The sequence below is a fragment of the Homo sapiens genome, chromosome 18 (assembly GCF_000001405.40).
Source record: "Homo sapiens chromosome 18, GRCh38.p14 Primary Assembly".
Classification (NCBI taxonomy): Eukaryota; Metazoa; Chordata; class Mammalia; order Primates; family Hominidae; genus Homo; species Homo sapiens.
The window spans coordinates 57,650,804-57,678,421 of record NC_000018.10 but is presented as its reverse complement, the minus strand read 5'-3'; the positions used below and the strand labels follow the sequence as shown (position 1 = coordinate 57,678,421).

Sequence of the window (27,618 nt, the reverse complement as noted above, 5' to 3'; positions counted from 1 at the left end):
TAGAGACGGGGTTTCACTATGTTGGCCAGGCCGGTCTCAAACTCCTGACCTTGTGATCCACCCGCCTCAGCCTCCCAAAGTGCTGGGATTACAGGTGTGAGCCACCGTGCCCTGCCCTAATAGTAAGTTTTTCAACACTTGTTGCCCTCCCTCCCTCCTTTCTCTTGAAGTCCCCACTATCTATTTTTGCAGTCTTTATGTCCATGAGTACCCAATGTTAAGTGAGAACATGTGGTAGGTATGTGGTCTTCTGTTCCTGAGTTAATTTGCTTAGGATAATGGCCTAATCTCTATTGTGACAAAGGACATGATTTTGTTCCTTTTTATGGCTGCATAGTTTTTTAGTCCAAGTGTCTTCCAGCAGTCATAAGGTTGGAATTTGGACCAAGTCACTGACGTTCTTCCCATCTCTGTTAGTCTGCAATTCTGTGATTCCATTATCAGAAGGTAATGGAAAACATTTTTTTTTCTTTAATGATAAAAATATCAAGGTGTTTGCTCTAGATATGAGTGTCTTACTTGTGGGAACTTTACCACTTTTTATTATTTTGTTCCTTTTCTCTGCTGGAAATGCGTTTGCTGTCAATATTATGCCATATATCGCTGTGCCAACTTAAGTTGCCGAAGGGAAAGGCTTTGTTCTCACCGCTGCTGATTTGTCTCTGGTTAAATAGTTTGCCCTCTAGCATTTGTATATGATTGCTAGATGGCCGGATTTAGGAAGTGCGTTTATAGCTTCTAGTGAATGACTTTCTGAGTGAACAAATACAGAGAGACCCTAAGTGTCATCTTTAATTATTAATTAGGAAGTGATTAATATTGACTTAAAAAGTGAATCCTCTGAGCCAATTGTGAAGGAAGGAAGGAAGGTGTGTTTAGCTCTCTCTGCCACCGTTACCCCAGAGCACCAACCATTCCAAGTGAGGCTGCTCATGCATCTGTGGCCTTCATCCTGGTCAAAGTATTTTGGAAAACTAAATGCTCTTTCTGTCCAAAGTCATCTGGCCACGGAAATGCTTTTCCTTCTATTTTGAGACAAAATAACTAGAGTAGAAAAATAGAAGATCTTGGGTAGGCAGAGTATTTTTTAAACTTTTTATTGAAGTACAACATGTGTATACAGAGATATGTACGTATCATAAGTATATAACTCAATGAATTTTCACAAACCAATACTCTTGTAATGAGCACCCAGATTTTTAAAAAAGAACATTATCAATCCCCCTAGAATTCCCTTTACATTCCTTTCCAGTGATTACAAGAAAAGTACTTTCCTGACTACGAATAACACAGGTTAGCTCTGTCAGTTTTTTGGCTTATTTCAGTGGAATCATGTAGCATATGTACTCTTTTGTGTATCTGGCTGTGAGATTTATTCCTCTTCTTATTGGTTTTTTCTTTTTTCCTAAAAGAGACTGCATCTTGCTCTGTCAGCCAGGCTGGAGTGCAGTGGAATATCAAAGCTCACTGTAACCTCACACTCCTGGGCTCAAGTGATCCTCCTGCCTCAGCCTCCTGAATAGTTGCAATTATAGGCACGTGCCACTGAACCTAGCTTATTCTTATTGTTGAAATGTAGTTGTGAATAGAAGACAATTTTCCATTATTTAACTTTTAAACATTAAGATATCGGATAGTGATCAAACTAAGGTTGGTTGGTTTGTTTCAACTTTTCTTTCTTTCTTTTTTTTTTTTTTTTTTTTTGAAATGGAGTCTCGGTCTGTCACCAGGGTGGAGTGCAGTGGCGAGATCTCGGCTCACTGCAACCTCCACCTTCTGGGTTCAAGTGATTCTCCTGCCTCAGCCTCCCGAGTAGCTGGAACTATAGGCACGTGCCACCATGCCTGGCTAATTTTCTGTGTTTTTAGTAGAGACAGAGTTTCACTGTGTTAGCCAGGATGGTCTCCATCTCCTGACCTCATGATCTACCTGCCTCAGCCTCCCAAATTGCTGGGATTACAGGCGTGAGCCACTGCACCCAGCCTGTGTGGTTTTTTTTTCTTTTTTTTTTTAATAAGGAGAATATAGCTATGGTAAAGAAAAAATAGCCTGGGCAACATGGTGAGATCCTGTCTCTACAAAAAATACAAACATTAGCTGGGCGTGGTGATGTGCGCCTATAGTCCCAACTACTCAGGAAGCTGAGGTGGGAGGATCACTTGCGCCTGAAGCGATCAAGGCTGCAGTGAGCTGAGATGGTGCCACTGCACTCCAGCCTTGGTGCCAGAGTAAGACTGTCTCAAAAAAACAAAAAAGAAAGAAAGAAAGAAAACATACTTTTTTAGAGGGAAGATAAACTGGTACAACCTTCTTGGAAAACAAATTAGTATTGTATACCAATGAGTTTTAAAATTATCAGTGTTCTCTGGCTCAGTATTTTCCTAATAGGAATCTGCTCTTAGAAAATAAGCCAGGGGCCCAGGGGCAGTGGCTCATGCCTGTAATCCGAACACTTTAGGGACTGAGGCAGGCGAATCACTTGAGTCCAGGAGTTTGAGACCAGCCTGAGCAACATGGTGAAACCCCGTCTCTACAAAAAATACAAAAAATTAGCCAGGTGTGGTGGCGTGTACCAGTAATCCCAGCTACATGGGAAGATGAGGTAGGAGGATCACTGAGCCTGGGGAGATTGAGGCTTCAGTGAGCCATGATCGTGCCACTGCACTGCAACCTGGGCAACACGGTGAGACCCTGTTTCAGAAAAACAAGAAAGAAAGAGAATAAGCCAGGTGAGGTGACATGAGCCTGTAGCCCTAGCGACTCATTAGGCTGAGGCAGAAGGATCACTTGGGCCCCGGAGATCAAGAGCAGCCTGGACAACATAGGGAGACCTCTGTCTCTAAAAAGAAAAAAGAAACAGAAAAATCTTTACACACATACAAAAGGGTTATTAAAGTGTGACTTTTTGAGAGTAAAAAAATTTGGAAATTAAGTGTCTGTAATGGGAAAATGATAACATATTTACATTTGTTCAAATGTTTATAAAGAATTTAAAAAGGGATGGCAATATGCTCAGATACAGCATTAAAATAATCAGGATGTAAATGTATATTCAGCTTGATAGAAACAATTTCAGATACAGACATTTTAAAAGGCACTGGAGGGAATGATAAAATGTCAACACCTGTTGTTTCTCCTGTGGATGGTGGGATTATGGGAATTTTCCCTCATTCTCCACCAATGTTTCTTTTTTAGTTTATATTACTGTTTATAAGTCAAGATAAAACAAAGAAGTTTTAATCTTGGCATAACCCTTCCAAGTCAATGACTCGTTTTCCTGGGGATGTTTTGGGCTTTGCAGCCCATCTGACCCCCACAGGAGCCTCAGCAGAGGCCTCAACAATGAGCTCTGCATTTGTTTTTACAGCTTTTCTGGGATTTCTCTCGCTTCCTTGTTAGGTCAGCTCAACTACCAGGCAGCCTCTCCCGATGAAGGTGCCCTGGTAAACGCTGCCAGGAACTTTGGCTTTGCCTTCCTCGCCAGGACCCAGAACACCATCACCATCAGTGAACTGGGCACTGAAAGGACTTACAATGTTCTTGCCATTTTGGACTTCAACAGTGACCGGAAGCGAATGTCTATCATTGGTAAGTCCCCCTCAGAGTCTGTCTATGAATCGCTCATTTAGATGTTGCTTGTGCCCATTGTATTGAGTGGCATCAGGATAAAGCAGCCAGTGAAAGAGCTACTTGGCTCCTGGGAGATTTCTGCAGCTTTACTGAAACTGGTATTGTTGGCTGGGCGTGGTGGCTCACGCCTGTAATCCCAGCACTTTGGGAGGCCGAGGCGGGTGGATCACGAGGTCAGGAGATCGAGACCATCCTGGCTAACACGGTGAAACCCCGTCTCTACTAAAAATACAAAAAAAATTAGCCGGGCGTGGTGGCTGGCACCTGTAGTCCCAGCCACTCGGGAGGCTGAGACAGGAGAATGGCGTGAACCCGGGAGGCAGAGCTTGCAGTGAGCCGACATCGCGCCACTGCATTCCAGCCTGGGCGATAAAGCAAGACTCCGTCTCAAAAAAAAAAAAAAAAGAAACTGGTATTGTTTTCTTCATTCTTCACTGTGTTCCCTACTCAAAGGGGTAGCCACAGTATCTCTGAATCTTGCAAATGCTGCTGACGTTCTTTTTTAATCCCTCTCTTTTTTTTCTTTTCTTTTCTTTTTTTTTTTTTTTTTGAGATGGAGTCTTGCTCCGTCACCCAGGAGTGCAGTGGTGCGATCTCAGGTCACTGCAACCTCCGCCTCCCAGGTTCAAGCGAGTCTCCTGCCTCAGCCTCCTGAGTAGCTGGGATTACAGCTGCTGACATTCTTTAACCACGTGGGCTGCCAGATGCTGAATCTGGGGCAGCAGGTGGAACATTTCTGAAGCAGCAGGTAGACATTTGTAGCAGTCTTTTATTTTAAACAACACATGCTCTTTTATTTTTTGAGCACCTCTGAGTGCTCTCTTCTGTACTTGATGGCAGGGAAGGGAGGACTCAGCAGGAAAAGATTTCTGAGAAAAGCAAAGCTATGCTTATGAATCAAAATCATATCTGCAATGCAGGCACATAACAGACCACCAAGTGAAGATGAAAATCACTTCCTACCACTGAACTGCTTTAAATTCGTAATTTGAAATAATCTCAAACTTATAGAAAAGTTACAAGAATGGTTTAAAGAGCCCTCATACTCTTCCATATCCACCAATTGTTAACATAATGAAATTTCATTTACATATCTCTATATATAGATCTAATATATATCTAATTATATATATGTAATTTCATTATATATACCTATATATATACACACATATATATGTACACACACATACATACAGGTTATTGTTTTCTGAACCATTTGAGAGTAAATTGCGTTAGAAGGAGCAAGATTACATGATAAAAAAAGAAAATAAAAATATAAAAAAGAGAATAAATTGCAGGCCTAATGTCCCTTTCCCCTAAATACTGTACTATATACCATAGTAGGTATTTCCTAAGAACAGAAGCACTCACTTATATATACAGTGCAATGTTCAGAACCAGAAAATTTAACACAGTACAATATTATCTAATCAATAGACTTTATCAGATTTTACCAGGGAGGTTCATTCTTTGTTTTTCTGGTCCAGGATCCAATCTAAGATCACAGGTTATATTAGGTGATCATGACTCTGAGTCAAGGACGGTTCAATCTCTTTTTGATCTTTCATCCATTGATATTTTTAAAAAGCACAGGCTGGTTATTTTATAGGCTATCCCTCCATTTGCGTTTGTCTGATGTTCCCTCATGATTAGAGCTAGGTTACACATTGTTGGCAGGAAGAGTCCGTAAGTGATGCTGTGCTTTTCTTTAAGTATCACATCAGAAGGTGTATACACACACACACATTTATATTTATATATATATACATATATTTATATATGTATATTTATATATACATGTATTTATATATGTGTGTATATATGTAGATATATGTATGTATATATGTGTATATACATGTTATATATATATATATATATATATATATATATATATATATATATATACTTTTTTTTTTTTTTTTTTTGAGACAGAGTTTCACTCTTGCTGCCCAGGCTGAAGTGCAATGGTGCTATCTCGGCTCACTGCAACCTCTACCTCCCTGGTTCAAGTGATTCTCCTGCCTCAGCCTTCTGAGTAGCTGGGATTACAGGCATGTGCCACCATGCCTGGTTAATTTTGTATTTTTAGTAGAAACAAGGTTTCTCCATGTTGGTCAGGCTGGTCTCCAACTGCCGACCTCAGGTGACTGGCCCGCCTTGGCCTCCCAGAGTGCTGGGATTACAGGCGTGAGCCACCCTGCCTAGCCAGAAGGTATATATTATTGGTTTGTCTCATTAATGGGGATGTTAACTTTGATCACTTGGTTAAGGTGGTATCTACAAGCCTTCTCCACTATGATTGAATTTTTAACCAATAAAAATATACAGGTTTAACTATTACACCCTCCTTAGGCACACTTACTGAACGCTTTCTGTGTCCCTTACACAGATCTAGACTGATTATCATGCTTGCCATCTACCTTGATTTAAAATCTGGTTAACAGTGAGGGATGTATTACAATTATTGCATTAATCAAAAAACCCAAAAAAAATGGTCATTAGGAGTGGTGTTGTGGTCGAAGTATTAAAAGCAGTAAGTGTTGTGAGTTCATAGGTGAGAAACTACCTGTTGGTTGGATGGAGAAAAAGTCTACAAAAGAAAGTAACTAGAACATGGCATAGCACATGGTAGGGAGTCAGTAAATATTTGTTGGAAGAATAACTGAGGTTATAAAAAACAGAGCTGACTGTGAAGGAATCTTTTTATATTTATTTCACTATTACATTCAATGTAGATAATGACTTACCAGTTTTGTTGAAGGCAACACTTTTCTAGAGGAACTGATGGTTTTAAGCTAACAGTGAATTATGAGATAGTAACATTTCAAATTAACTTTATAAATGTAGTTTTCTATTAAAAAATCAAACTTAGCTGGGTGTGGTAACTCACATCTGTAATCCCAGCATTTTGGGAGGCTGAGGCAGGAGGATTGCTTGAGCCCAGGAGTTCAAGACCAGCCTGGGTAACATAGTGAGACCTCCAATGTCTATAAAAATAAAAATTAGCCAGGCATGGTGGCATGCACCTGTAGTCCCAGCTACTCGGGAGGCTGAGATGGGAGGATTGCTTGAGCCTGGGGGGTCGAGGCTACAGTGAGCCGATACTGAACTGCTGCACTCCAGCCTGGACAACAGAGCAAGACCCTGTCTCAAAAAATATATATATAAAAAATCAAACTTTGTTGTGTTTATTTCCTTCTTTTACTACCAGTAAGAACCCCAGAAGGCAATATCAAGCTTTACTGTAAAGGTGCTGACACTGTTATTTATGAACGGTTACATCGAATGAATCCTACTAAGCAAGAAACACAGGATGCCCTGGATGTAAGTTTCACTTTTATTCTTTCTGCAAGGGATTCTGAACTTACTCTCTGATGCTGTCTGTTAAGTTTGCATGAAAGCTGTATGTTAACTGCTGACCCTCCCTTTGCTTTGCAATAGTTGGGGTGGAAAGAGCAGTAAAGTAGGAATACAGCCACCTGGGTCCCAGTTCTGCCCCTGCCACTGACTTCCTGGGATATCACCATGGTGCCCTCTCCCAGCATGTGGGTCTTCAAGGTCTATAGGACTGAGGCAGGGGAATGGCTTAGCTCTCTTCCAGTGGCCTTGAGCAAGCTACATAACCATACTAGGTTGTAGTCTTACTATGTGTGTGGTCCCCAAGACCTCCACTAACTTCAAGTTGTAGTGCAAAGGAAGGAAAGCATTCATATGTGACAGGATGACAGAGCTGACTATAGGTCACATCTTGTCTAGCCAAGATGGCAGAAGCGGTTCAACTGATTGAGTATTTGGTGTCTCATGCCTGTAGTCCCAGCACTTTGGGAGGCCAAGGCGGGTGTATCACCTGAGGTCAGGAGTTCAAGACCAGCCTGGCCAACGTGGTGAAACCCCGTCTCCACTAAAAATACAAAAAAATTAACTGGGTGTGGTGGTGGGCACCTGTAATCCCAGCTACTTGGGAAGCTGAGGCAGGAGAATCGCTTGAACCCCAGAGGGAGGGGGTAGAGTGAGCCGAGATCGTACCATTGCACTCCAGCCTGGGCGACAAGAGCAAAACTTGGTCAAAATAAAAAAGATGTGACTATAAAGTAATGAGATGTTTACTGGTTCATGTTGAAACTGTTTAAAATGTTTAAATCAGGCTGGGTGCAGTAGCTCACGCCTGTAATCCCAGTACTTTGGGAGGGTGAGGTGGCAGATCACGAGGTTAACAGATCGAGACCATCCTGGCCAACATGGTGAAACCCCGTCTCTACCAAAAATACAAAGATTAGCCAGATGCAGTGGCACCCGCCTGTAATCCCAGCTACTCAGGAGGCTGAGGCAGGAGAATGGCGTGAACCAGGGAGGCAGAGGTTGCAGTGAACCGAGATCGCACCACTGCACTCAAGCCTGGGCGATAGAGTGAGACTTCATCTCAAAAAAAAAAAAAAGAAAAAGAAAAAGAAAAAAAAAGAAAATGTTTGAATCGTTCATCATGGGAAAATTGCCAGATACTCTTTTCCATTAAAAGCTTTGACCTCAGCTTTAACAATGGCTTGTGTATTTTAGAATTGGTTTGAGGGAATAATGCTTAGTGGAGAGTTCATAGGTGATTGGACTTGTATCACAGTTTGTTGGAACAAGTTATAAAGTTGTCAGGTTCGTGCTTATGTCATTACACCCCAAGGCAGCTCCCTTGGTCTGATATTTTCCTAGTCATGAAGAGAAAAAGAGAAAATGAGAAAATGAGAAAGGTAATAGAAGATTTAGAAGAAAGGTAAGCTTTTCCCTTTGGAAACTGGAAGTGCAGTCCTGGACCCTATAGAAGTTTAGAAAAGCAAAGTCTATTATAAAGTGATGTTTAGGCTGGGTGCAGTGGCTCATGCCTGTAATCCCAGCACGCTGGGAGGCTGAGTTGGGCAGATCACATGAGCTCGTGAGTTCAAGACCAGCATGATGAAACCCCATCTCTACAAAAAAAAGTACAAAAATTACCAGGCGTGGTGGTGCACACCTGTAGTCCCAGCTACTTGGGAGGCTGAGGTGAGAGGATGGCTTCAGCCTGGAAGGCAGAGGTTGCAGTGAGCCGGGATTGCATCACTGCATCCCAGCCTGGATGATAAAGCCAGACCTTGTCTCAAAAAAAAAAAAAGTGACATTTAATCCCCTCTCTAAAGTGTATTTGTACAGAATCTGTCATGTTTAATGATCTCTTTTTAAATTCTGTTAGTATATTACTTCAAAGTAAAATTTCAGACTTGATCCTGAATTACATAAATTAACTATTCTTTGCATTGGTGGATTTATTTTTTTAAATAAAACAGATCTTTGCAAATGAAACTCTTAGAACCCTATGCCTTTGCTACAAGGAAATTGAAGAAAAAGAATTTACAGAATGGAATAAAAAGTTTATGGCTGCCAGTGTGGCCTCCACCAACCGGGACGAAGCTCTGGATAAAGTATATGAGGAGATTGAAAAAGACTTAATTGTGAGTTTTAGCCTTAATAACTTTTTCTTTGATATTCTAAGCAGAATTGAAATTTTTATTAAGTTTTATTGAATATTTGATCTCATGCTTAAGAGATAATTGTAACTTCAGCATTTGACACTGGCACAATGGAAGAAGGTTATTTCTTTTATTCACCAAAATAGGAGCAGAACAGAAGTTGCCATTATGAGAAACCAAAAGACAAAATACATTAGGAGAAGTTCTAATTTAATTCCATAATTTGTATATCACTTATTAAAATTTATTATAATTTTTAAACAATAACAAACCTGCATCTAATACTTATTACATTGGGGGAATTACCGAAACAATTCATATTCTGCAAAATCTTGAAATAAGAAAAATATATTGTTTCTAAAAGTTTTCCAAATTTAATACATAGTTTTTGTAGGGTTTAGATAAGTGGAAAATATTCAACAAATAGCTAGTATTGCAACTGGTTTACGGTTTATGTCAGTATAAAGCCACAAATACACAAGAAAAGTGTATTTTTAACATCCTTGATTTTGTACTTGCATTTTTGTCTTGGTAAATTAAATAGTTCATCCTTTAGGGAAAAAGTTTTTAGGTGTGTTGGTTTGCAGTAATTGTGAAACATGGCAGCCTTCCCTGTTAACACTGGCCATTGGCCCCAGGAGAGCAGCAACCAGGATGTATAATTAGCCCTTCTTTTTACAGGTTGGCAACCTGTAATTACAGAAAACTTTTGGTTTGTTTGCTAATTCCTTTTTTTTTTTTTTTTAATATACATTCTAGCTCCTGGGAGCTACAGCTATTGAAGACAAGCTACAGGATGGAGTTCCAGAAACCATTTCAAAACTTGCAAAAGCTGACATTAAGATCTGGGTGCTTACTGGAGACAAAAAGGGTAATTCATTGTGCAGGGAAGCATATCTGTTAATTCACAAATATTTATAGCTGCCGTTTCCTTTGCCCAAGATGACCTCCTCAGACTTTTCATCCTGTACAAACACTGTTTCTTTGGACGGAAGATGCTTTTTCTGAGAAACCCTCCTCTGTTTTTCCAGCACATTCTTCTGCATCCTTTCCTGATCCCCCTCAGTAGCAGTTTCTTCCTTATAATTTAGCTCCTGGCCATGTCTTGCTGATTATAATTGGTCTTATCTCTCCAGCCAGACGTGGGTTCCCGTCCTGAAAGGGCCATCCCTCTTGTCCCTCTGTCCTTCCAGTGCTTTGACATTTGGTGGGCACAGAGTAGAACAATACAAAGTACTGAACAATAACTTTGGTTTTCTTGCCAATTTTATTGCTTGGCAATAAAATTGTATACCTAAGGAAAGAACGATTTTAATTTTTTAACTTTAGAACTCAACAAGCACTTGTTTGGTATTGATACTTTACTTTGTAAGCCTTCCACAAGAAATCAAATAATGTCTCTTGCGCTGAAATCGTCAACGGGTTACACACTCTGCAAAGTTATGGGAAGCACAGCCCTGACCTTAAATAAATGCCAAATTGGGTGGTAATTTAAAAGGAAAAAAAATCTTCACGTAAGGGTTGGTGGAAATTATTATGCTTCCCTCTGCCCCCGCCCCCCGCCAATAACAGAGTAATTGAACCAGGAACTGAGAGTGTTTAGTAATTTAATGAACATTGGTTTACTAAATAACCAGTTTATATGTTTGATAATATAGCACATTTTATTATTGAAAACATTTCAAATTAGACTTTGACTTTCACTTGTTTTATTATGGAGAAAAGGATTTTTCTTCTGCATGTGATTCCTACAGATTGCTATAGAAAAATAGTGTGTTTGTGTGAATCTGGTTATGTTCATGAACTAAAAAATATCATTACTAGGTAAAATCAATTATTCAGTTCAACAGTAAGAATGAGCCTGGCAAACATGACAAAACCCCATCTCTAGAAAAAACACAAATTGTTTGGTGGCTTGGCAGCGAGTTGCGTAGTCCCAGCTACTTGGGGGCTGCGGGTGGTGCTGAGATGGGCAGATCACTTGAATCCTGGAGGTTGAGGCTGTAGTGAGCAGAGATTGTGCCACTGCACTCCAGCCTAGGCAGTGGGAGTGAGATGCTGTCTCAAAAAACAAAATAAAATAAAATAAAAACAGCAGGAATGACATTTGACTTAATTTTATTCTATTGTAGAAACTGCTGAAAATATAGGATTTGCTTGTGAACTTCTGACTGAAGACACCACCATCTGCTATGGGGAGGATATTAAGTGAGTAAAAGCCTGCAGTATGAAATTACGTAATAGCTCATCTTTGCAAATGCAAGACTGTCTGTAGAAGATAGCAGATATGAAGAAATAGGGGTTACGATGTGTCACTTGGGGCAGTTTCCTCATGTTTAAATGAGGCAAGACAACAACAGGCAGTTCCAAGTAATCAAGGTGCAGCCTAAATTTGAGCAGATTTTACTTTTAGGGAAACTTGGGGCCCTTCAGAGGCCATTTTTCTCCATTCCTTCTCAGCTCAGGCCAGGCGCAGTGGCTCATGCCTGTAATCCCAGCCCTTTGGGAGGCCGAGGCGGGTGGATCACCTGAAGTCAGGAGTTCTAGAGCAGCCTGGCCAACATGGTGAAACCCCGTCTCTACTAAAACTACAAAAATTAGCTGGGTGTGGTGCCCGGTGCCTGTTATCTCAGCTACTCGGGAGGCTGAGGCAGGAGAATCACTTGAACCCAGGAGGCAGAGGTTGCAGTGAGCCAAGATCACGCCACTGTACTCCAGCCTAGGTGACAAGAGTGAAACTCTGTCTCATTAAAAAAAAAAAAAAAACTCGGTTCACCTACTAAAAATTCCGTAAAAAGCCTGTAATATCGCTAGCAAATTAATATGAATTATAGTCCTATTTTGCTTTTTCTAGGAACTTTTACTTTTGAAAGGGAAATAGAAGAAAGGAAAAAAAAAACCCAAAACTTTTGCGGGAAGGAAATGTGTGGGTGGGTTACATCATGTAGGTCCCCTGTAATCTAGTCTAGGTGGGGCAGGCCTGATAATTCAAATGTTAGCATATGCTGAAACGTTTGTTAGCTTTGAATCAGAGTCGCAGCAGACCTGGAAATGTATGATGAAAAAGCCCTGTCTTGTTCTGAAGCTATAAATATGCTGCACACAGTTACTGTGATGTGTTTACTGATGGCCTGACAGTTCCTCAAGATTTTTCCCTACAGAGCTTCTCTCAGGCCAGCATGAGGTCAGATTAAACTGTTAACATACACATTTGCCAGGTGTGATAAAGTGATGAGGGAATTGATGGTCAATATTAGTCTTATTTCTAATGATGGTGATAAAGCATTTTCTAGTTGTTCTAGTATATTAGGTATTCCGTCAAATTAGACAAAATCAGTAGCCTTATGATCTAAATCAGTTCCATTTAGAACTGATTTAGTTTATGTGCCCAAATAGAGGTACATAAGCCATGCCCCTTTGTGCTTTTAGGTTTTAAAAAAGTAGCAACAGGCTGGGCACGGTGGCTCATGCTTGTAATACCAGCACATTGGGAGGCCGAGGCGGGTGGATCACGAGGTCAGGATTTTGAGAACAGCCTGACTGATATGATGAAACCCCGTCTCTACTAAAAATACAAAAATTAGCCAGGCATGGTGGCATGTGCCTGGAATCCCAGCTACTCGGGAGACTGAGGCAGGAGAATTGCTTGAACCTGGGAGGCAGAGGTTGCAGTGAGCCAAGATAGTGCCACTACACTCCTGCCTGGGTGACAGAGCAAGACTCCGTCTCAAAAAAAAAAAGTAGCAACAGACAAATAAATGCTTAATGCTTAATGAGTTTACTTTAGTAGTTTTGGGCTTCAAGTAATCTGATTAATTACTATATGGCTTTGTTTATTTTTTGTAGATGGGGCTGTAAAAAAATTTCTGGTCTCTCTTTTGAAAGTCTTAAAAATTGGTCCCGAAGCTAAAGTAAAAGATAAAATGTATGCAAGTAGCAAATGTTGTGACCATGCCCTTAGCTGAGTTTACCTTTATAGAGAGAGGAATCATCTTCCCAGGTGGCTCTTAAATTGATGATTCCTATAAAATGATTTGAATAGAAGGTATCTTCATTTTTTTTCTCTTACGGCCTTTCAATGATTTGTCTTAGTCACTCACTTTTAACTTGAAAATGAGAATTAAATTGATGTGGAAAAGGGATACTAGATACTTAATCCTCTAGTGCAGTGATTCTCCGTGGGGAGTGAGTTTGCCTTCCAGGGACCCTTTGGCACTGTCCAGAGACACTTGCTTGTTTCAGCTGCAGAGAAGTGCTCCTGGCTTCTAGTGGGTAGAGGCCAGGGATGTTGCTAAACATCCTCCAGTGCAAGGGATGGCCACACAAAATAAAGGATTATTAGGCCCAAGACATCAAGAGTGCAAAGGCTGAGAAGCCTTCTTTGGAAGGAGAAGAACAATGGCTTTTTGTATGTAATAGTAAGAGTCCTGAGCCAGAAGTTACAAGATAACTGAGTCCTCATTCTAGTTTTCCTATCAACCTGCAGCAGGCAAATCACATCACCTTCCTCTGGCTTGATTTCCTTATTTGTAACATGAAGAGATTGGACAAGATATTTAAGGTCCCTTCCACTCCAAAATTTCATGACTCATTTTTCTATCACATGAAAGTGTTACACGTAGCCTTGTCACATATATCATTTTAACACAAACATTTAATTTGTTGATATAAAGCACTGAGAATTTCTCAAACACAGATATAGTTTTGTTTATATGAAAATAAGTTTATTCCTAACAAACAATAGCCAGTATTCTAATTCAGATCAAGATTGCCTTTCCTTTTTTTTTTTTTTTTTTTTCTTAGAAAGACTCTGTCACCCAGGCTGGAGTGCAGTGGTGCAATCTTGGCTCATTGCAACCTCCGCCTCCTGGGTTCAAGTGATCCTCATGCCTCAGCCTCCCAAGTAACTGGGATTACAGGCACCGCCACCACGCCTGGGTAATTTTTGTATTTTTAGTAGAGACAGAGTTTCACTATGTTGGCCAGTCTGGCTGCGAACTCCTGACCTCGACTGATCTGCCCGTCTCAGCCTCCCAAAGTGCTGGGATTACAGGTGTGAGCCACAGTGCCTGGCCTAAGATTGCCTTTCTTCTGTTGCTGTGTATACATTTTCAACTGTATCTTCCTTTGACTGTCTTTGAAAAATGATGAATTACATGGTACCCCCATGGTGGATGAATCGAGACATAGTAAAATTACATGTCGCTCAGTTAAAAAAAAAAAAAAAAAAGGGCTGGCCAGGCGTGGTGGCTCATGCCTGTAATCCCAGCACTGTGGGGGGCTGAGGCGGGTGGATCATGAAGTCAAGAGATTGAGACCATCCTGGCCAACATGGTGAAACCCTGTCTCTACTAAAAATACAAAAATTAGCTGGGCATGGTGGTGCCCGTCTGTAGTCCCAGCTACTTGGGAGGCTGAGGTGGAAGAATAGCTTGAACCTAGGAGGTGGATGTTGCAGTGAGCTGAGATAACACCACTGCACTCCAGCCTGGTGACAGAGCGAGACTCTGCCTCAAAAAAAAAAAAAAAAAAAAAAAATGGGCAAAGCACTTTGAGTAGACATTTTTCCAAAGAGGACATGCAAATGGCTGATAAACATGTGAAAGGAGGCTCATCATCACTAATCATTAGGGGAAGATAAATCAAAACCAAAGCAAGATAACACCTCACACCCTTTAGGATGGCTACTATCAAAAACAAAACACAATAGAAAATAACAATCATTGTTGAAGGAACCTTTGTGTGTTGTTGATGAAATATATAAAATGGTGCAGCCACTATGCAAAACAGTATGGTGATGTTTCAAAAAATTTCAAAAAGGATTACCATATGATGCAACAATCCCACTTCTGGGTATATCCACAAAATAATTGAAAGCAGGATCTCAAAGAGATACATGCACACCCATGTTCACAGCAACACTGTTCACAGCAGCCAAGAGATGGACGCAACCCAGGTGCCCATCAGTGAGTGAATGGATAAACAGAATGTGGTGCTTCCACATAATGGAATATATTCAACTTTAAAAAGGAAGGAAATTATGACATATATTATATAGATGAACCTTGAAGACATTAAGCTAAGTGAAATAAACCAGTCACAGAAAGACAAATACTGTTTGATTTCACATATATGAGGTATCTAGAGTGCTCAAATTCATTCAAACAGAAAGTTAACTGGAAGTTACCAGGGACTGGAGGGCGAGTGAGGTGAGGTGTTATTGTTTAATAGGTATAGAGTTTCCGTTTTGCAAGATGAAAAAGTTCTAGAGATTGGTTGGATAACAATGTGACTATAGTTAACACTACTAAGTTGTACACTTAAAAATGGTCAAAGCCCGGGATATGGCAAAACCCTATTGCTACAAAAAATACAAAAATTAGCCAGGCGTGATAGCGTGTGCCTATAGTCCCAGCAACTCAGGAGGCTGAGGCAGGAGAATCACTTGAGGCTGGGAGGTCAAGGCTGCAGTGATCCATGATCATGCCACTGCTCTCCAGCCTGGGTGACAGAGTGAGACCCTCTCTCAAAAAAATTATAATGAAAATAAAATAAAGAAACAAAAATAGGTAAGATGGTAAACTTTGTTTTTTTGTCACAATTTTTTTTAAGTCAAAGTTATCTCAGAGTCAAGGGCCTATTTAGGGTCTTACACTTTAAACACTGAAATTTGGTTTCCCCTAGTTCTCTTCTTCATGCAAGGATGGAAAACCAGAGGAATAGAGGTGGCGTCTACGCAAAGTTTGCACCTCCTGTGCAGGAATCTTTTTTTCCACCCGGTGGAAACCGTGCCTTAATCATCACTGGTTCTTGGTTGGTACGTATCATTAGTGTATCTGTGCCTTTAACTCAAAAGAAAGAAGTTCATTTGGAGCCACTTTTAGATGCTTTCACATGTTAACTGCCAACCTAAAAGTCTCTTAGCCTATACATGAAAGTGTGGTTTTTCCAAGTTTGAGACTTAATAATATATGATATATGAAAGGATGTATACCAAAGAGGTAAAAGTGGTTATCTTGGTTTACTAATTAATGGGTTTTTTCATTTTCTTCTTTATAGATTGTTAGATTTTCTAAATTTTTGTTGCATATATATTTTATAAGCTGGATGTGGTGGCATGCGCCTGTAGTCCCAGCTCCTCTGGAGGTTGAAGCAGGAGGGTGGTTTGAGCTTAGGTGTTCGAGGCTGCAGCATGCAATGATCACACTTGTGAATGAATAGCCACTGCACTTCAACCCAGGCTATACAGCAAGACCCCATCTCCATTGAAAAATATATATATAGCTGAGCACAGTGGCTCACGCCTGTGCTCCCAGCACTTTGGGAGGCCAAGGCGGGCAGATCACAAGGTCAGGAGATGGAGACCATCCTGGCCAATATGGTGAAACCCCGTCTCTACTAAAATACAAAAAAAATAATTAGCCAGGCGTGGTGGTGCACACCTGTAGTCCCGGCTACTCGGGAGGCTGAGGCAGGGAAATTGCTTGAACCTGGAAGGCAGAGGTTACAGTGAGCCGAGATCGTGCCACTGCATTCCAGCCTGGCAACAGAGTGAGACTCCATCTCAAAAAAAAAAAAAAAAAAAATATATATATATATATATGTGTGTGTGTGTGTGTGTGTATATACATACACACATACATATATGTGTGCGTGTGTATATACATACACACGCACACATATATATACATGTTTTGGTTATAAAATCAAATTTATTTGTCAAATATAATCAGTGACATAATCCAAAAATTATCCTTCACATAATTTAAATCTTGGGAATGGTACTCCTGGGGTAAAACTAAAGTGAATGTAACCTTTTCCCTCTCTGATTTCACAGAATGAAATTCTTCTCGAGAAAAAGACCAAGAGAAATAAGATTCTGAAGCTGAAGTTCCCAAGAACAGAAGAAGAAAGACGGATGCGGACCCAAAGTAAAAGGAGGCTAGAAGCTAAGAAAGAGCAGCGGCAGAAAAACTTTGTGGACCTGGCCTGCGAGTGCAGCGCAGTCATCTGCTGCCGCGTCACCCCCAAGCAGAAGGCCATGGTGGTGGACCTGGTGAAGAGGTACAAGAAAGCCATCACGCTGGCCATCGGAGATGGGGCCAATGACGTGAACATGATCAAAAGTGAGTCATGCACCCACGGCCAGTGAGGCCCAACGTGCTAGAGAGGAGAAATGGCTGGAATGTGTAGGGGGTGGATTTTCTTTTTTTAGATTTTACAGCTTAGGTTTTCATAGAGCAGATGTTTCATAAAGTCACTTAACCATGACAACGCCTGTGACCCTACCCCCAGAAAGCCCACAGCCCATCAGGAGGAAAGAGTATCACTGACAGGGCTTCTGAAGGATGCGAAGAGGAAAATAAGGTCTATGGGGGGAAATTTATCCTTATATTTTTATTCTTTTATATAGATGTTGTGTATTTTTTTCTCTCTTACTGGTTCTCTTCCCATATTTTGGGTTTATTAAAAGCCCTGATATTGGCTGGGCACAGTGGCTCACGCCTATAATCCCAGCATTTTGGGAAGCCGAGGCAGGTGGATCACAAGGTCAGGAGTTCGAGACCAGCCTGATCAAGATGCTGAAACCCCGTCTCTATTAAAAATACAAAAATTAGCCAGGTGTGGTGGTGCACACCTGTAATCCCAGCTACTCGGGAGGCTGAGGCAGGAAAATCACTTGAACCCAGGAGGCGGAGGTTACAGTGAGCTGAGATCGTGCCACTGCACTCCAGCCTGGACGACAGAGTGAGACTCCATCTCAAAAAAACAAAACAAAACAAAAAACCCTGATATTTAATAAGTTTTGTAAGACATAAATTATTGAACTCTGGCTGGTGCTTGCTTTGACAATATCATTCTCCTTCATCTAAGCATTTCTTTCTGGGACTTTCTTCCTACCTTTGGTAAATCTGTGGGAACTTCATCATTGGGTCACCTGGTGTGAGTTTAGAGTAACATGTTTAGCACTGAAGAAAAGCTTCCACGTGCTCTCATCATCCTCCTCACCTCCCTAGAAGGCTGCCTTTTTCTGGATGCTAGAATTTAAGTCCACACAATTAAAATATTGAGTCCTGCCATGCAGAAATACAGTTGTGCTGGTATTAAAGCCTGCAGAAGCACACCCACAGCCCTCATCTCTATGTCTGAATTCTGTTCCTTTTTCCTCCCTCTGTCACTATAAGGGAGTATCTTGTATTAAAAATACTCAAACTAATGACCTGGATATTCATCCTCATCCTATTGCCAAAATCCGGTGTCACCTTGGGCTTATGCTCAGGTTTCAGTTTTCTCATCGGAAAAGAAAATAATCCCTAATGTCACCTCCAGCTCTGTCGTATTATTATCACTGAGCTGAAGTATTACCTGACTGTACATAGGTAATTGCATGTTCCTGTGATGCTGGGTTGCTTAAATGCATTATATATAACTAGACTTTTCAGTCTATTTTGTGACTCATGAGTCTGTCTCTTTCTTTTCTTAGTCTCCTCCTCCTCCTTGATGTATACTAAGAATATTCCAACTTTATCTTCCTCAACAGGAGTCAGCTGTATGACGTATGTCATCTTGCCTTCTTTATCAGTGCGTATGTCTGTGGTCACTAGCAGTTTAATTCATCCACACTGTTTTTTTTTTTTTTTTTGCATGTGCTTGCCCTACCATGCGAATGGTATTGCTTGCTCGGAGTTAGATCTATCTCTTTCCTCCATAGCCAGCCAGCTCTAGTTTATTTTCCATTACGTACCTTTAACGTAACTAGCCGTGCCAAAAGGACAAGTCAAACATGATTTTTATTCAGTTATAAAGTAGCCTTCTAGATAATGGGAGGGGACGGGTTTGCTTTGGAGATTTATCAACTGATTATGTGACTTAGACTTGAAACATTTTGTTCCTCTGAGTTCACCAATACATAATGAGAGGGATTGCACAAAGTCAATGTAGATAATCTTAGAGGGGCTTGTTTTTCTTAAGTTGTCTTAAAATTTTTATTAAGCACTGTTATATGCCAGGTGCATTTAAAAAAAAAACAAGGTCTCCCTCTGTGGCCCAGGCTGGGGTGCAGTGGCATGACCTTGGCTTACTGCAACCTCCACCTCCTGGCCTCAAACAATCCTCCCACCTCAGCCTCCCAAGTAGCTGGGACTACAGGCATGAGCCACCATGCCCAGCTAATTTTTGTATTTTTTGTAGAGTTGGGAATTTGCCATGTTGCTCAGGCTGGTCTTGAACTCCTGGGCTCAATCAGTCTGCCTGCCTCAGTCTCCCAAAGTGCTAGGATTACAGGCATGAGCCACCTCACCTGGCCCCAGGTACTTTTATATATAAGTTATAGAGCATCCCTTTGGGATAAAAATATAGGAAACTTTAGGGGTCTCCTTAGAAGTTATACAAGTAGTATTAGTGCCTTTATGTACTTTGTAAAAGCTGTCATTTCTTCCAACCACATCAATAACAATATACAGAAAGTTTAGCCAAGTATGGGGCACACACCGGTAGTCCCAGCTACGTGGGAGGCTGAGACGGAAGGATTACTTGAGCCTGAGAAGTTGAGACTACAGTGAGCCATGTTTGTGCCACTGCACTCCACCCTGGGTGACAGAGCAAGACCCTTTCTCCAACAACAAAAAAGAACACACACACACACACACACACACACACACACACACACACAAAGAAATTGTTGGTCATAAAGTAGTCGAGTGAAATTATTCAAGTGTCAAAAAATAATCTGAGCATTTGCTAACATTCACGTTTAGCAGTGTAGTCTGGAAGAAGTGAAGGAATCATGACCCACCATGTTTCTGCCCCTAGCAAGGATCCAAGGACTATCATAGGCTGCCTTCTCCCTCTATCCTACCTGAAGATATCTCATACCAGCTGGGTGGATGTTGTCTCTTCTTGGTCTTAGACCCTGAGAATGTACGTGAAGCAGGAGAGAGATAAAGGCAAGGTGGGGCATGGTGGCTCATGCCTGTAATCCCAGCACTTTGGGAGGCCAAGGCAGGCAGATCACCTGAGGTTGGGAGTTCGAGACCAGCCTGGCCAACATGATGAAACCCCATCTCCACTAAAAGTACAAAAATTAGCCGGGCATGGGGGTGGCGGGCACCTGTAATCCCAGCCACTCGGGAGCCTGAGGCAGGAGAGTCACTGGAACCCAGGAGGCAGAGGTTGCATTGAGCCAAGATCGCACCACTGCACTCCAGCCTGGGCGACAGAAAAAGACTCCATCTCAAAAAAAAAAAGGCAAGAGGGATTATTGCTGTAGCGAGGAAATATTCTTTTTGTTAAGGAATGATAAAAGAATGTCTACCAGTGAGGCACCTAACACCGCATTTGAGATTTCAGGAAACTCTAAATGCCTGTACTTAAATTTTACAAAAAAGACCAATGTTACCTTATAGTGTATCTGTTCAGTGCTTTTGGTTGCCCTGGGAACTATGACAGTGTTCATTTCACATTTGTCCTTGGTCTGCTCAGCGGGAAGGTTGAGGACTGGATACCAGGGCCTGGGGCAGGGCTTCCTCTTCCTCAGCCACATAAGCCAAGAGAATCTCAGCATTTTCCTCAGTGGCTTGTTCAGGAAAGAAAAGGCCATGGTTTGGCAGGAAAGAGCAAGTTTGGCAACCATGCTGGTCATAGGAAATATTTGTGTGTTTTCAAAGAGAACATAAATATTATATGAGATGCAGTTTGTTCTGTTTTTTTAGAAGTGTTACTGAAAACGTAGGTTTGGATACATCACTACAGTTATGTTTTGAATTTGCCAGACCTTGTGTTCTGTAACTAGGGCAGGATTTTTGAAGCTTCTTTTTAGTTGGAACGCCGCAGCATTGCAGCCACTTTTCAGGGTCTGAGCAATGATAGGTTGTGTTCTCCAACATATCTTTTCTAAATGATCTTGTCTATCTTCACATTCGTTACTTTTAAGACCCAGACAAAACTAATCATTCTCTAATTTGAAAGTGTTATTTATGACTATTGGAAGCATAAATAAAATTGTGACTTTAATTTTATATATTCTGGAAACCTTCCCCCGTAAAGAAAAAAAAAATGTCTTAAGGTCCCAGAGGGCCATGAATAAGACTTTGAAAGTTTAATAGTTTCTTGGTTAAAACTCTTTTGATTACAAGTATTGGAGAACAACCAAAGCTAGCTTAAGAAAAAATTAAATTTGAGGAGTGGGAGACGAGGGGAGGGAACCTAGAGGATGGGTCAATAGGTGCAGCAAACCACCATGGCACACGTATACCCATGTAACAAACCTGCACGTTCTGCACAGGTATCCTGTAACTTAAAAGAAAAAAAAGAAAAAAGTAAATTTATTTAAACACCTCCTGTTGTCCAAGAAGAAGCCAGGCCTCAGGAAGATACTGGAACAAGGACATAGATTTGCACCAGGAACCCCGTGTCTGTCTGTCTCTCTCCCCTTCTCTCTCCCTTTCCTCCTTCTTCCCCTCCTTCTCTCTCTCCCCTCCCTCCCTTCTCTCCCCACTCTTCTCTCCCCACTCTTCTCTCCCCCCATTCTCTCCCTCCATTCTCTCCCTCCTCCCCACCCCTCTCTCCCCACTACTTTATTTCTCTGCCCCTTAGAAATCTTCAGGAAGAAATATATCTATTTCGGCCAGGCACAGTTGTTCATGTGTGTAATCCTAGCACTTTGGGAGGCCAAGGCAGGTGGATCACCTGAGTTCAGGAGTTCAAGGCCTGCCTGGACAACATGGTGAAACCCCGTCTCTACAAAAATTAGCTGGGTGTGGTGGCGCACATCTGTAATCCCAGCTACTCGAGAGGCTGAGGCAAGAGTATCGCTTGAACCCAGGAGGCAGAGGTTGCAGTGAGCCAAGACTGCGCCATTGCACTGCAGCCTGGGTGACAGAGTGAGACTTCATCTCAAAAAAAAAAAAAAAAGAGAGAGAAAGAAATATAACTATTTCTTACCTCAAGAATTTAGACCTTAAAATTCTAGACACAAAATAACTGACTTCTAATTCCAGAATATCAAGAGAGAGACTGGCTCAGCTTGGGTTTTCTGTCAGTCAGGGTTTAGCACAGGAAACAGACCCCAGTTGGTATTTAAGCAAGAAAAGATTCATACAGGGGACTAGGTACTTTCAAAAGCTCTGGATGGTCTACAGAAGCAGGGTCTAGGCTGGGTCACTTACCAGAAGAGCTTCTACTCTTCTGGTAAGTGATAAGAGGTTCCTCTAAAGAGCTTCCAAATTAAGAAGCCTTTATAGTTGCCTGTCAACATCCAGGTAGCTGGAAAGTAGATATGAGCTCTGCTGCAGAAATCCCAAAAGAGGAAGCGATGCTGGGCTCTGATTCACTTCTGCTTCCAAGTCATAAGTGGATCTAAACAGTGGAACCTAATTCACAAAGAGCCTAGCTGCAAGGGAGTCTGGGAAATGTAGGGTTTTTATTTCCTTTCCCACCTCTCTAATTAGAACAAGGATGGAATGAAGTTGGGGGAGCCGATTTGTAGTATCTACCACAAATTACATATCTGCCCATGACTGACACAGCTGTTGCCAAAGAGGCAAGGACACAGTGTACACATGGGTGCCTGGGGCTCACCCTGTGGATGGAAGGGATGGCTGTGATCTTGGCAGATAATCCAAATGGAATTCGTCACCCACATGAGATCCTTTCCCAGATATTTATGGAGGCCCTACTGTGTGCTCTGTTTAGCAACTTGTAACTCAGACTTTGAGTTGAGTTCAAGAGCTGGGGGTGAGGGATGGTGAGCAAGAGCTTCTGTATTATTGTTCCATCAATGTCTGTCTTTGTTTTTTGTTTGCTATGGAACCATTTTTATCAACTGATGTTTTGCCTCACAATCGGTTTATGATCCACAGTGTTTTCTCCCTCTGCCCCATAGCTGCCCACATTGGCGTTGGAATAAGTGGACAAGAAGGAATGCAAGCTGTCATGTCGAGTGACTATTCCTTTGCTCAGTTCCGATATCTGCAGAGGCTACTGCTGGTGCATGGCCGATGGTCTTACATAAGGATGTGCAAGTTCCTACGATACTTCTTTTACAAAAACTTTGCCTTTACTTTGGTTCATTTCTGGTACTCCTTCTTCAATGGCTACTCTGCGCAGGTAATGTAATGTTGTTATTATTGTTATTTACTAAGTAGAGCTCTTAAATGAATAAAAATCTAGTTCTGAAAAGACAATTTATTTCTTCTATATTTGTAGTTTTGGGGCTGTGTCTCCTTACAGTTGGGGCATAATTAAGAATGATCATGACTTCTCTAAATGTTTCTGGTGCTGTAAAAACATTTTACCTTAGAAAGGAGGGGATTTGGCCAGGCATGGTGGCTCACGCCTGTAATCCCAGCACTTTGGGAGGCTGAGGCAGGTGGATCGCCTGAAGTCGGGAGTTTGAGATCAGTCTGGCCGACATGGTGAAACCTGGTCTCTACTAAAAATACAAAAATTTTCCGGGTGTGGTGGCAGGCACCTGTAATCCCAGCTACTCGGGAGGCTGAGGCAGGAGAATCGCTTGAACCTGGGAGGCAGAGGTTGTGGTGAGCCGAGACTGCGCTATTGCACTCCAACCTGGGCAAGACTTTGTCTCAAAAAAAAAAAAAAAAAGGAGGGGATTTGCTTGTATGTTTTTATCTTTATCTTTGGTTATTTTTTCATGTTGACATTAAGAGTAGCGATAACAGGGCTGGGTGCAGTGGCTCACGCCTATAATCCCAGCACTTTGGGAGGCCGAGGTGGGCGGGTCACCTGAGGTCAAGAGTTGGAGACCAACCTGGCCAACATGGTGAAACCCCGTCTCAACAAAATACACAAAAATTAGCCAGACATGGTGGCGTGTGCCTGTAATCCCAGCTACTTGGGAGGCTGAGGCAGAAGAATCACTTGAACCTGGGAGGCAGAAGGTACAGTGAGCCAAGATCACGCCACTGTACTCCAGCCTGGGCGACAGAGTGAGACTCTGTCTCAGAAGAAAAAAAAAAAGAATATTGATAACAGGCCAGGTGCATAGAGTTTTGCCTATAATCCCAACACTTTGGGAGGCTGAGATGGGGAGATCGCTTAAGGCCAGGAGTTCGAGGCCAGCCTAGGCAACATAGCAAGACCCCCATCTCTATTAAAACAAACAAACAAACAAAATGTTAAATAAAGGAAGCAGATGAGTATGTGCTAACTAGGCTGGCATGTGTCTTTGTTGGTGACATGGAGCCTCTGTCATCCCCTCACAGACTGCATACGAGGATTGGTTCATCACCCTCTACAACGTGCTGTACACCAGCCTGCCCGTGCTCCTCATGGGGCTGCTCGACCAGGTAGGAGCCTCGCACAAGCAGGGACACTTCTGGACAGATGAGAATGCGTTAGAGAAGTCCCAAGCAAACGTTTCAATGCATTCTTCTGGTGTTTACTTCTTTCTGATCAAACCCTATTATAATTCTGTTGTCAGGCATCAAGGGTCATGGCTGTGCTTCTTGTTTTGTAATAAGGAAAGAGGATTTCTCTGTAGTCCCAGCTACTCGGGAGGCTGATGCAGGAGTATGACTTGAGCCCAGGTGTTCAAGTCTAGCCTGGGCAATAAAGTGAGACCCCATCTCTAAGACAAAAAAAAAAAAAAAAAAAAAGAGAAAAGAGGATTTCTGTGACTGGGTTGAATTCATTGGCACACATATTTGTTATGTTCCTTTTAGACAGTAAGAGCTTACTATGAAGATACCTGAAGGCAGGGCATGGTGGATCATGCCTGTAATCCCAGCACTTTAGGAGGCTGAGGCAGGCAAATTGCTTCAGGTCAGGAGTTTGAGACCAGCCCTGGCAACATAGGGAGACCCCATCTCTACAGAAAAATTTAAAAATTGTGGGCATGGTAGTGCACACCTGTGAAGTCCCAGCTACTTGGCAGGATGAGGTGGGAGGATCGCTTGAGCCTGGAAGGTTGAAGCTGCAGTGAGTTGTGTTTGTGCCACTGCACTCCGGGCTGGGCAACAAAGTGAGACCCTGTCTCCAAAAAAAAAAAAAAAAAAAGAAAAGAAAAGGAAAAAAAGGCACCCGAGAGTCCAATATGTCTCCACAATAATAATTTACTCATTTTAAAGTCAGTTTAAATCCTTTCCAAAATTTATGTAGCTAGTGCATATTTTTATCTAATACCAATTCTTAAAAAGAAAGAAGCACTATAAAGACTAAAAAGTAATAATTTATAATTAACTCATCAACTTGTATGAGAAAATTTTTTCCCAAAGGATTTGCAACAATATATATTCACTCAGGAGGTAAAAACAGTAGCCTCCCTACATATTTTTGGACATTACTAATTTGTTTTCTTTCCATAAGTAGCAAAGTAATAAACTTATACCTAGCCCTTCTCTGAATTAAATATTAAGTAATGGTGGTCTAAGCAATGAGGTTGAGCTCTGCACACCACAAATATTGCAGGATTGATCGATTATCTTGTTCAGTTTTTGCCTTCCTAAAATTTAACAGCAGGCTGCAACTTTTTGTGAGATATTAATTATAACATATCTCTGACTGCTTTGACCTGATGAATAAAATACCATCATTTTGTTTTCTCCTTAAGGATGTGAGTGACAAACTGAGCCTCCGATTCCCTGGGTTATACATAGTGGGACAAAGAGACTTACTATTCAACTATAAGAGATTCTTTGTAAGCTTGTTGCATGGGGTCCTAACATCGATGATCCTCTTCTTCATACCTCTTGGAGCTTATCTGCAAACCGTAGGGCAGGATGGAGAGGCACCTTCCGACTACCAGTCTTTTGCCGTCACCATTGCCTCTGCTCTTGTAATAACAGTCAATTTCCAGGTACGTGGCTTTCATTGGCCGTATTCAGTGTCTATTGGTACCTACTTATATTTCTGTATATAGGGTGGCATGCACATCCACCTGACTCCCACTGCACCTGTGCCACTTACAAAATATAAATGCTATTTTCATCTCTTATACCAAGCACATTTTCTATTTCTTGCCTGAGTCAAGGATGGTTTAGTTTCTGGTCCAGTATTCAAGCCACATCATGCCTAACTTGCTGAATTCTGTTTTCAGGATTGTTAGATCCTTTATTTCTTGCTAACTCCCCAAAATGAGTGCTCTGTTTTTCTCTGGTTTCCCAACAGATTGGCTTGGATACTTCTTATTGGACTTTTGTGAATGCTTTTTCAATTTTTGGAAGCATTGCACTTTATTTTGGCATCATGTTTGACTTTCATAGTGCTGGAATACATGTTCTCTTTCCATCTGCATTTCAATTTACAGGTTGGTATTTCCAAATTCCAAAAATAAATGTACAGACAAATGTCATTAGTTTAGATTTTGACATAACTTCTGTTAAGTAATAAAATATACAAGGTGGAATGGCTGGGCACAGTGGCTCACACCTGTAATCCCAGCATTTTGGGAGGCCGAGGCAAGTGGATTGCTTGAGCCCAGCAGTTCAAGACCAGCCTGGACAACATGGCTAAACCCCATCTCTACAAAAAATACAAAAAAATTAGCCAGGCATGGTGGCACATGCCTGTAGTTCTAGCTACTGGAGAGGCTGAAGTGGGAGGATTGCTTGACCTGGGACGTTGAGGCTACAGTGAGTCGTGATGGCACTGCTGTACTCTAGCCCAGGTGACAGAGCGGGACCCTGTCTCAAAAAAAAAACAAAAAAAACAAAGCACAACAAAACAAATATATACAAATTATTATTGCTAGTGAAAATTAATGTCTTGTCTGGAAATTAAATGGTGATGGTGGGTTGAAAGGGCATAACATGATGGGAGGAAGACAAATTAAAATAGCTTTACAATAGCGCTGTACGTGTGTTGAATTAGATAACTTAAGACTTAAAAGGCTGGATAAAAGCCTATTCTTTCTTTCCCATAAAACCTAATACTGGGGCTAGATGTGGTAGCTCACGCCTGTAATCCCAGCACTTTGGGAGGCCAATATGGGTGGATCACTTGAGCTCAGGAGTTTGAGACCAGCCTGGGCAACATGGTGAAACCCCATCTCTACAAAAAATACAAAAATTAGCCAAGCGTGGTGGCGCACACCTGTAGTCCCAGCTATTCAGGAGGCTAAGGTAGGAGGACACCTGAGCCCAGGAGGTTGAGGCTGCAGTGAGCCATGATCACGCCACTGCACTCCAACGTGGGTAACAGAGTGAGACCCTATCTCAAAAAAAAGTCAGAAGTCTTGATCACCTAACTTTGCATTTTTAATCAATGCAATGTCAACAAATGTGCTTTTTTTCCTTATTTGCTCACTTATGTAAATTTGCCTTGTTTCAAATAATTTACCTTCCCAATTTTGCTTTGCTTAGTCTGATTTTAAAATGTCTGTTCTTTGAGCCATAATGGATATTTTGGGGAGGCCAATCCAGTTGTAAAACTTTACCATAAATGATCTATTTATAGATTATGAAATATTAACTATGTTCTTTTTTTTATTTTATTTTTTATTTTTGAGACAGAGTTTTGCTTTATCACCCAGGCTGGA

The 27,618-nt window shown here is 41.5% G+C and overlaps 1 protein-coding gene and 1 long non-coding RNA gene across 13 annotated transcripts in view; one reads left to right on the top strand and one right to left on the bottom strand.

Moving 5' to 3' along the window:
• Window positions 1-27,618, top strand: part of ATP8B1 (ATPase phospholipid transporting 8B1) — a 156,890-nt gene that overhangs the window by 124,894 nt on the left and 4,378 nt on the right. For all 12 annotated transcript variants that reach the window (XM_047437547.1, NM_005603.6, NM_001374386.1 and 9 more), the window contains 11 exons: window positions 3,400-3,588; window positions 6,842-6,954; window positions 8,940-9,104; window positions 9,882-9,993; window positions 11,255-11,330; window positions 15,807-15,939; window positions 16,960-17,248; window positions 23,005-23,228; window positions 24,347-24,430; window positions 25,693-25,938; window positions 26,250-26,388. In XM_047437547.1, the coding sequence (XP_047293503.1) occupies window positions 3,400-3,588; window positions 6,842-6,954; window positions 8,940-9,104; window positions 9,882-9,993; window positions 11,255-11,330; window positions 15,807-15,939; window positions 16,960-17,248; window positions 23,005-23,228; window positions 24,347-24,430; window positions 25,693-25,938; window positions 26,250-26,388 (1,770 nt within the window). The remainder of the gene's footprint in view (window positions 1-3,399; window positions 3,589-6,841; window positions 6,955-8,939; window positions 9,105-9,881; window positions 9,994-11,254; window positions 11,331-15,806; window positions 15,940-16,959; window positions 17,249-23,004; window positions 23,229-24,346; window positions 24,431-25,692; window positions 25,939-26,249; window positions 26,389-27,618) is intronic.
• Window positions 9,139-27,618, bottom strand: part of ATP8B1-AS1 (ATP8B1 antisense RNA 1) — a 38,953-nt gene continuing 20,473 nt past the window's right edge. The window contains exon 3 of the long non-coding RNA NR_164148.1: window positions 9,139-10,416. This is a non-coding gene — a long non-coding RNA (ATP8B1 antisense RNA 1). The remainder of the gene's footprint in view (window positions 10,417-27,618) is intronic.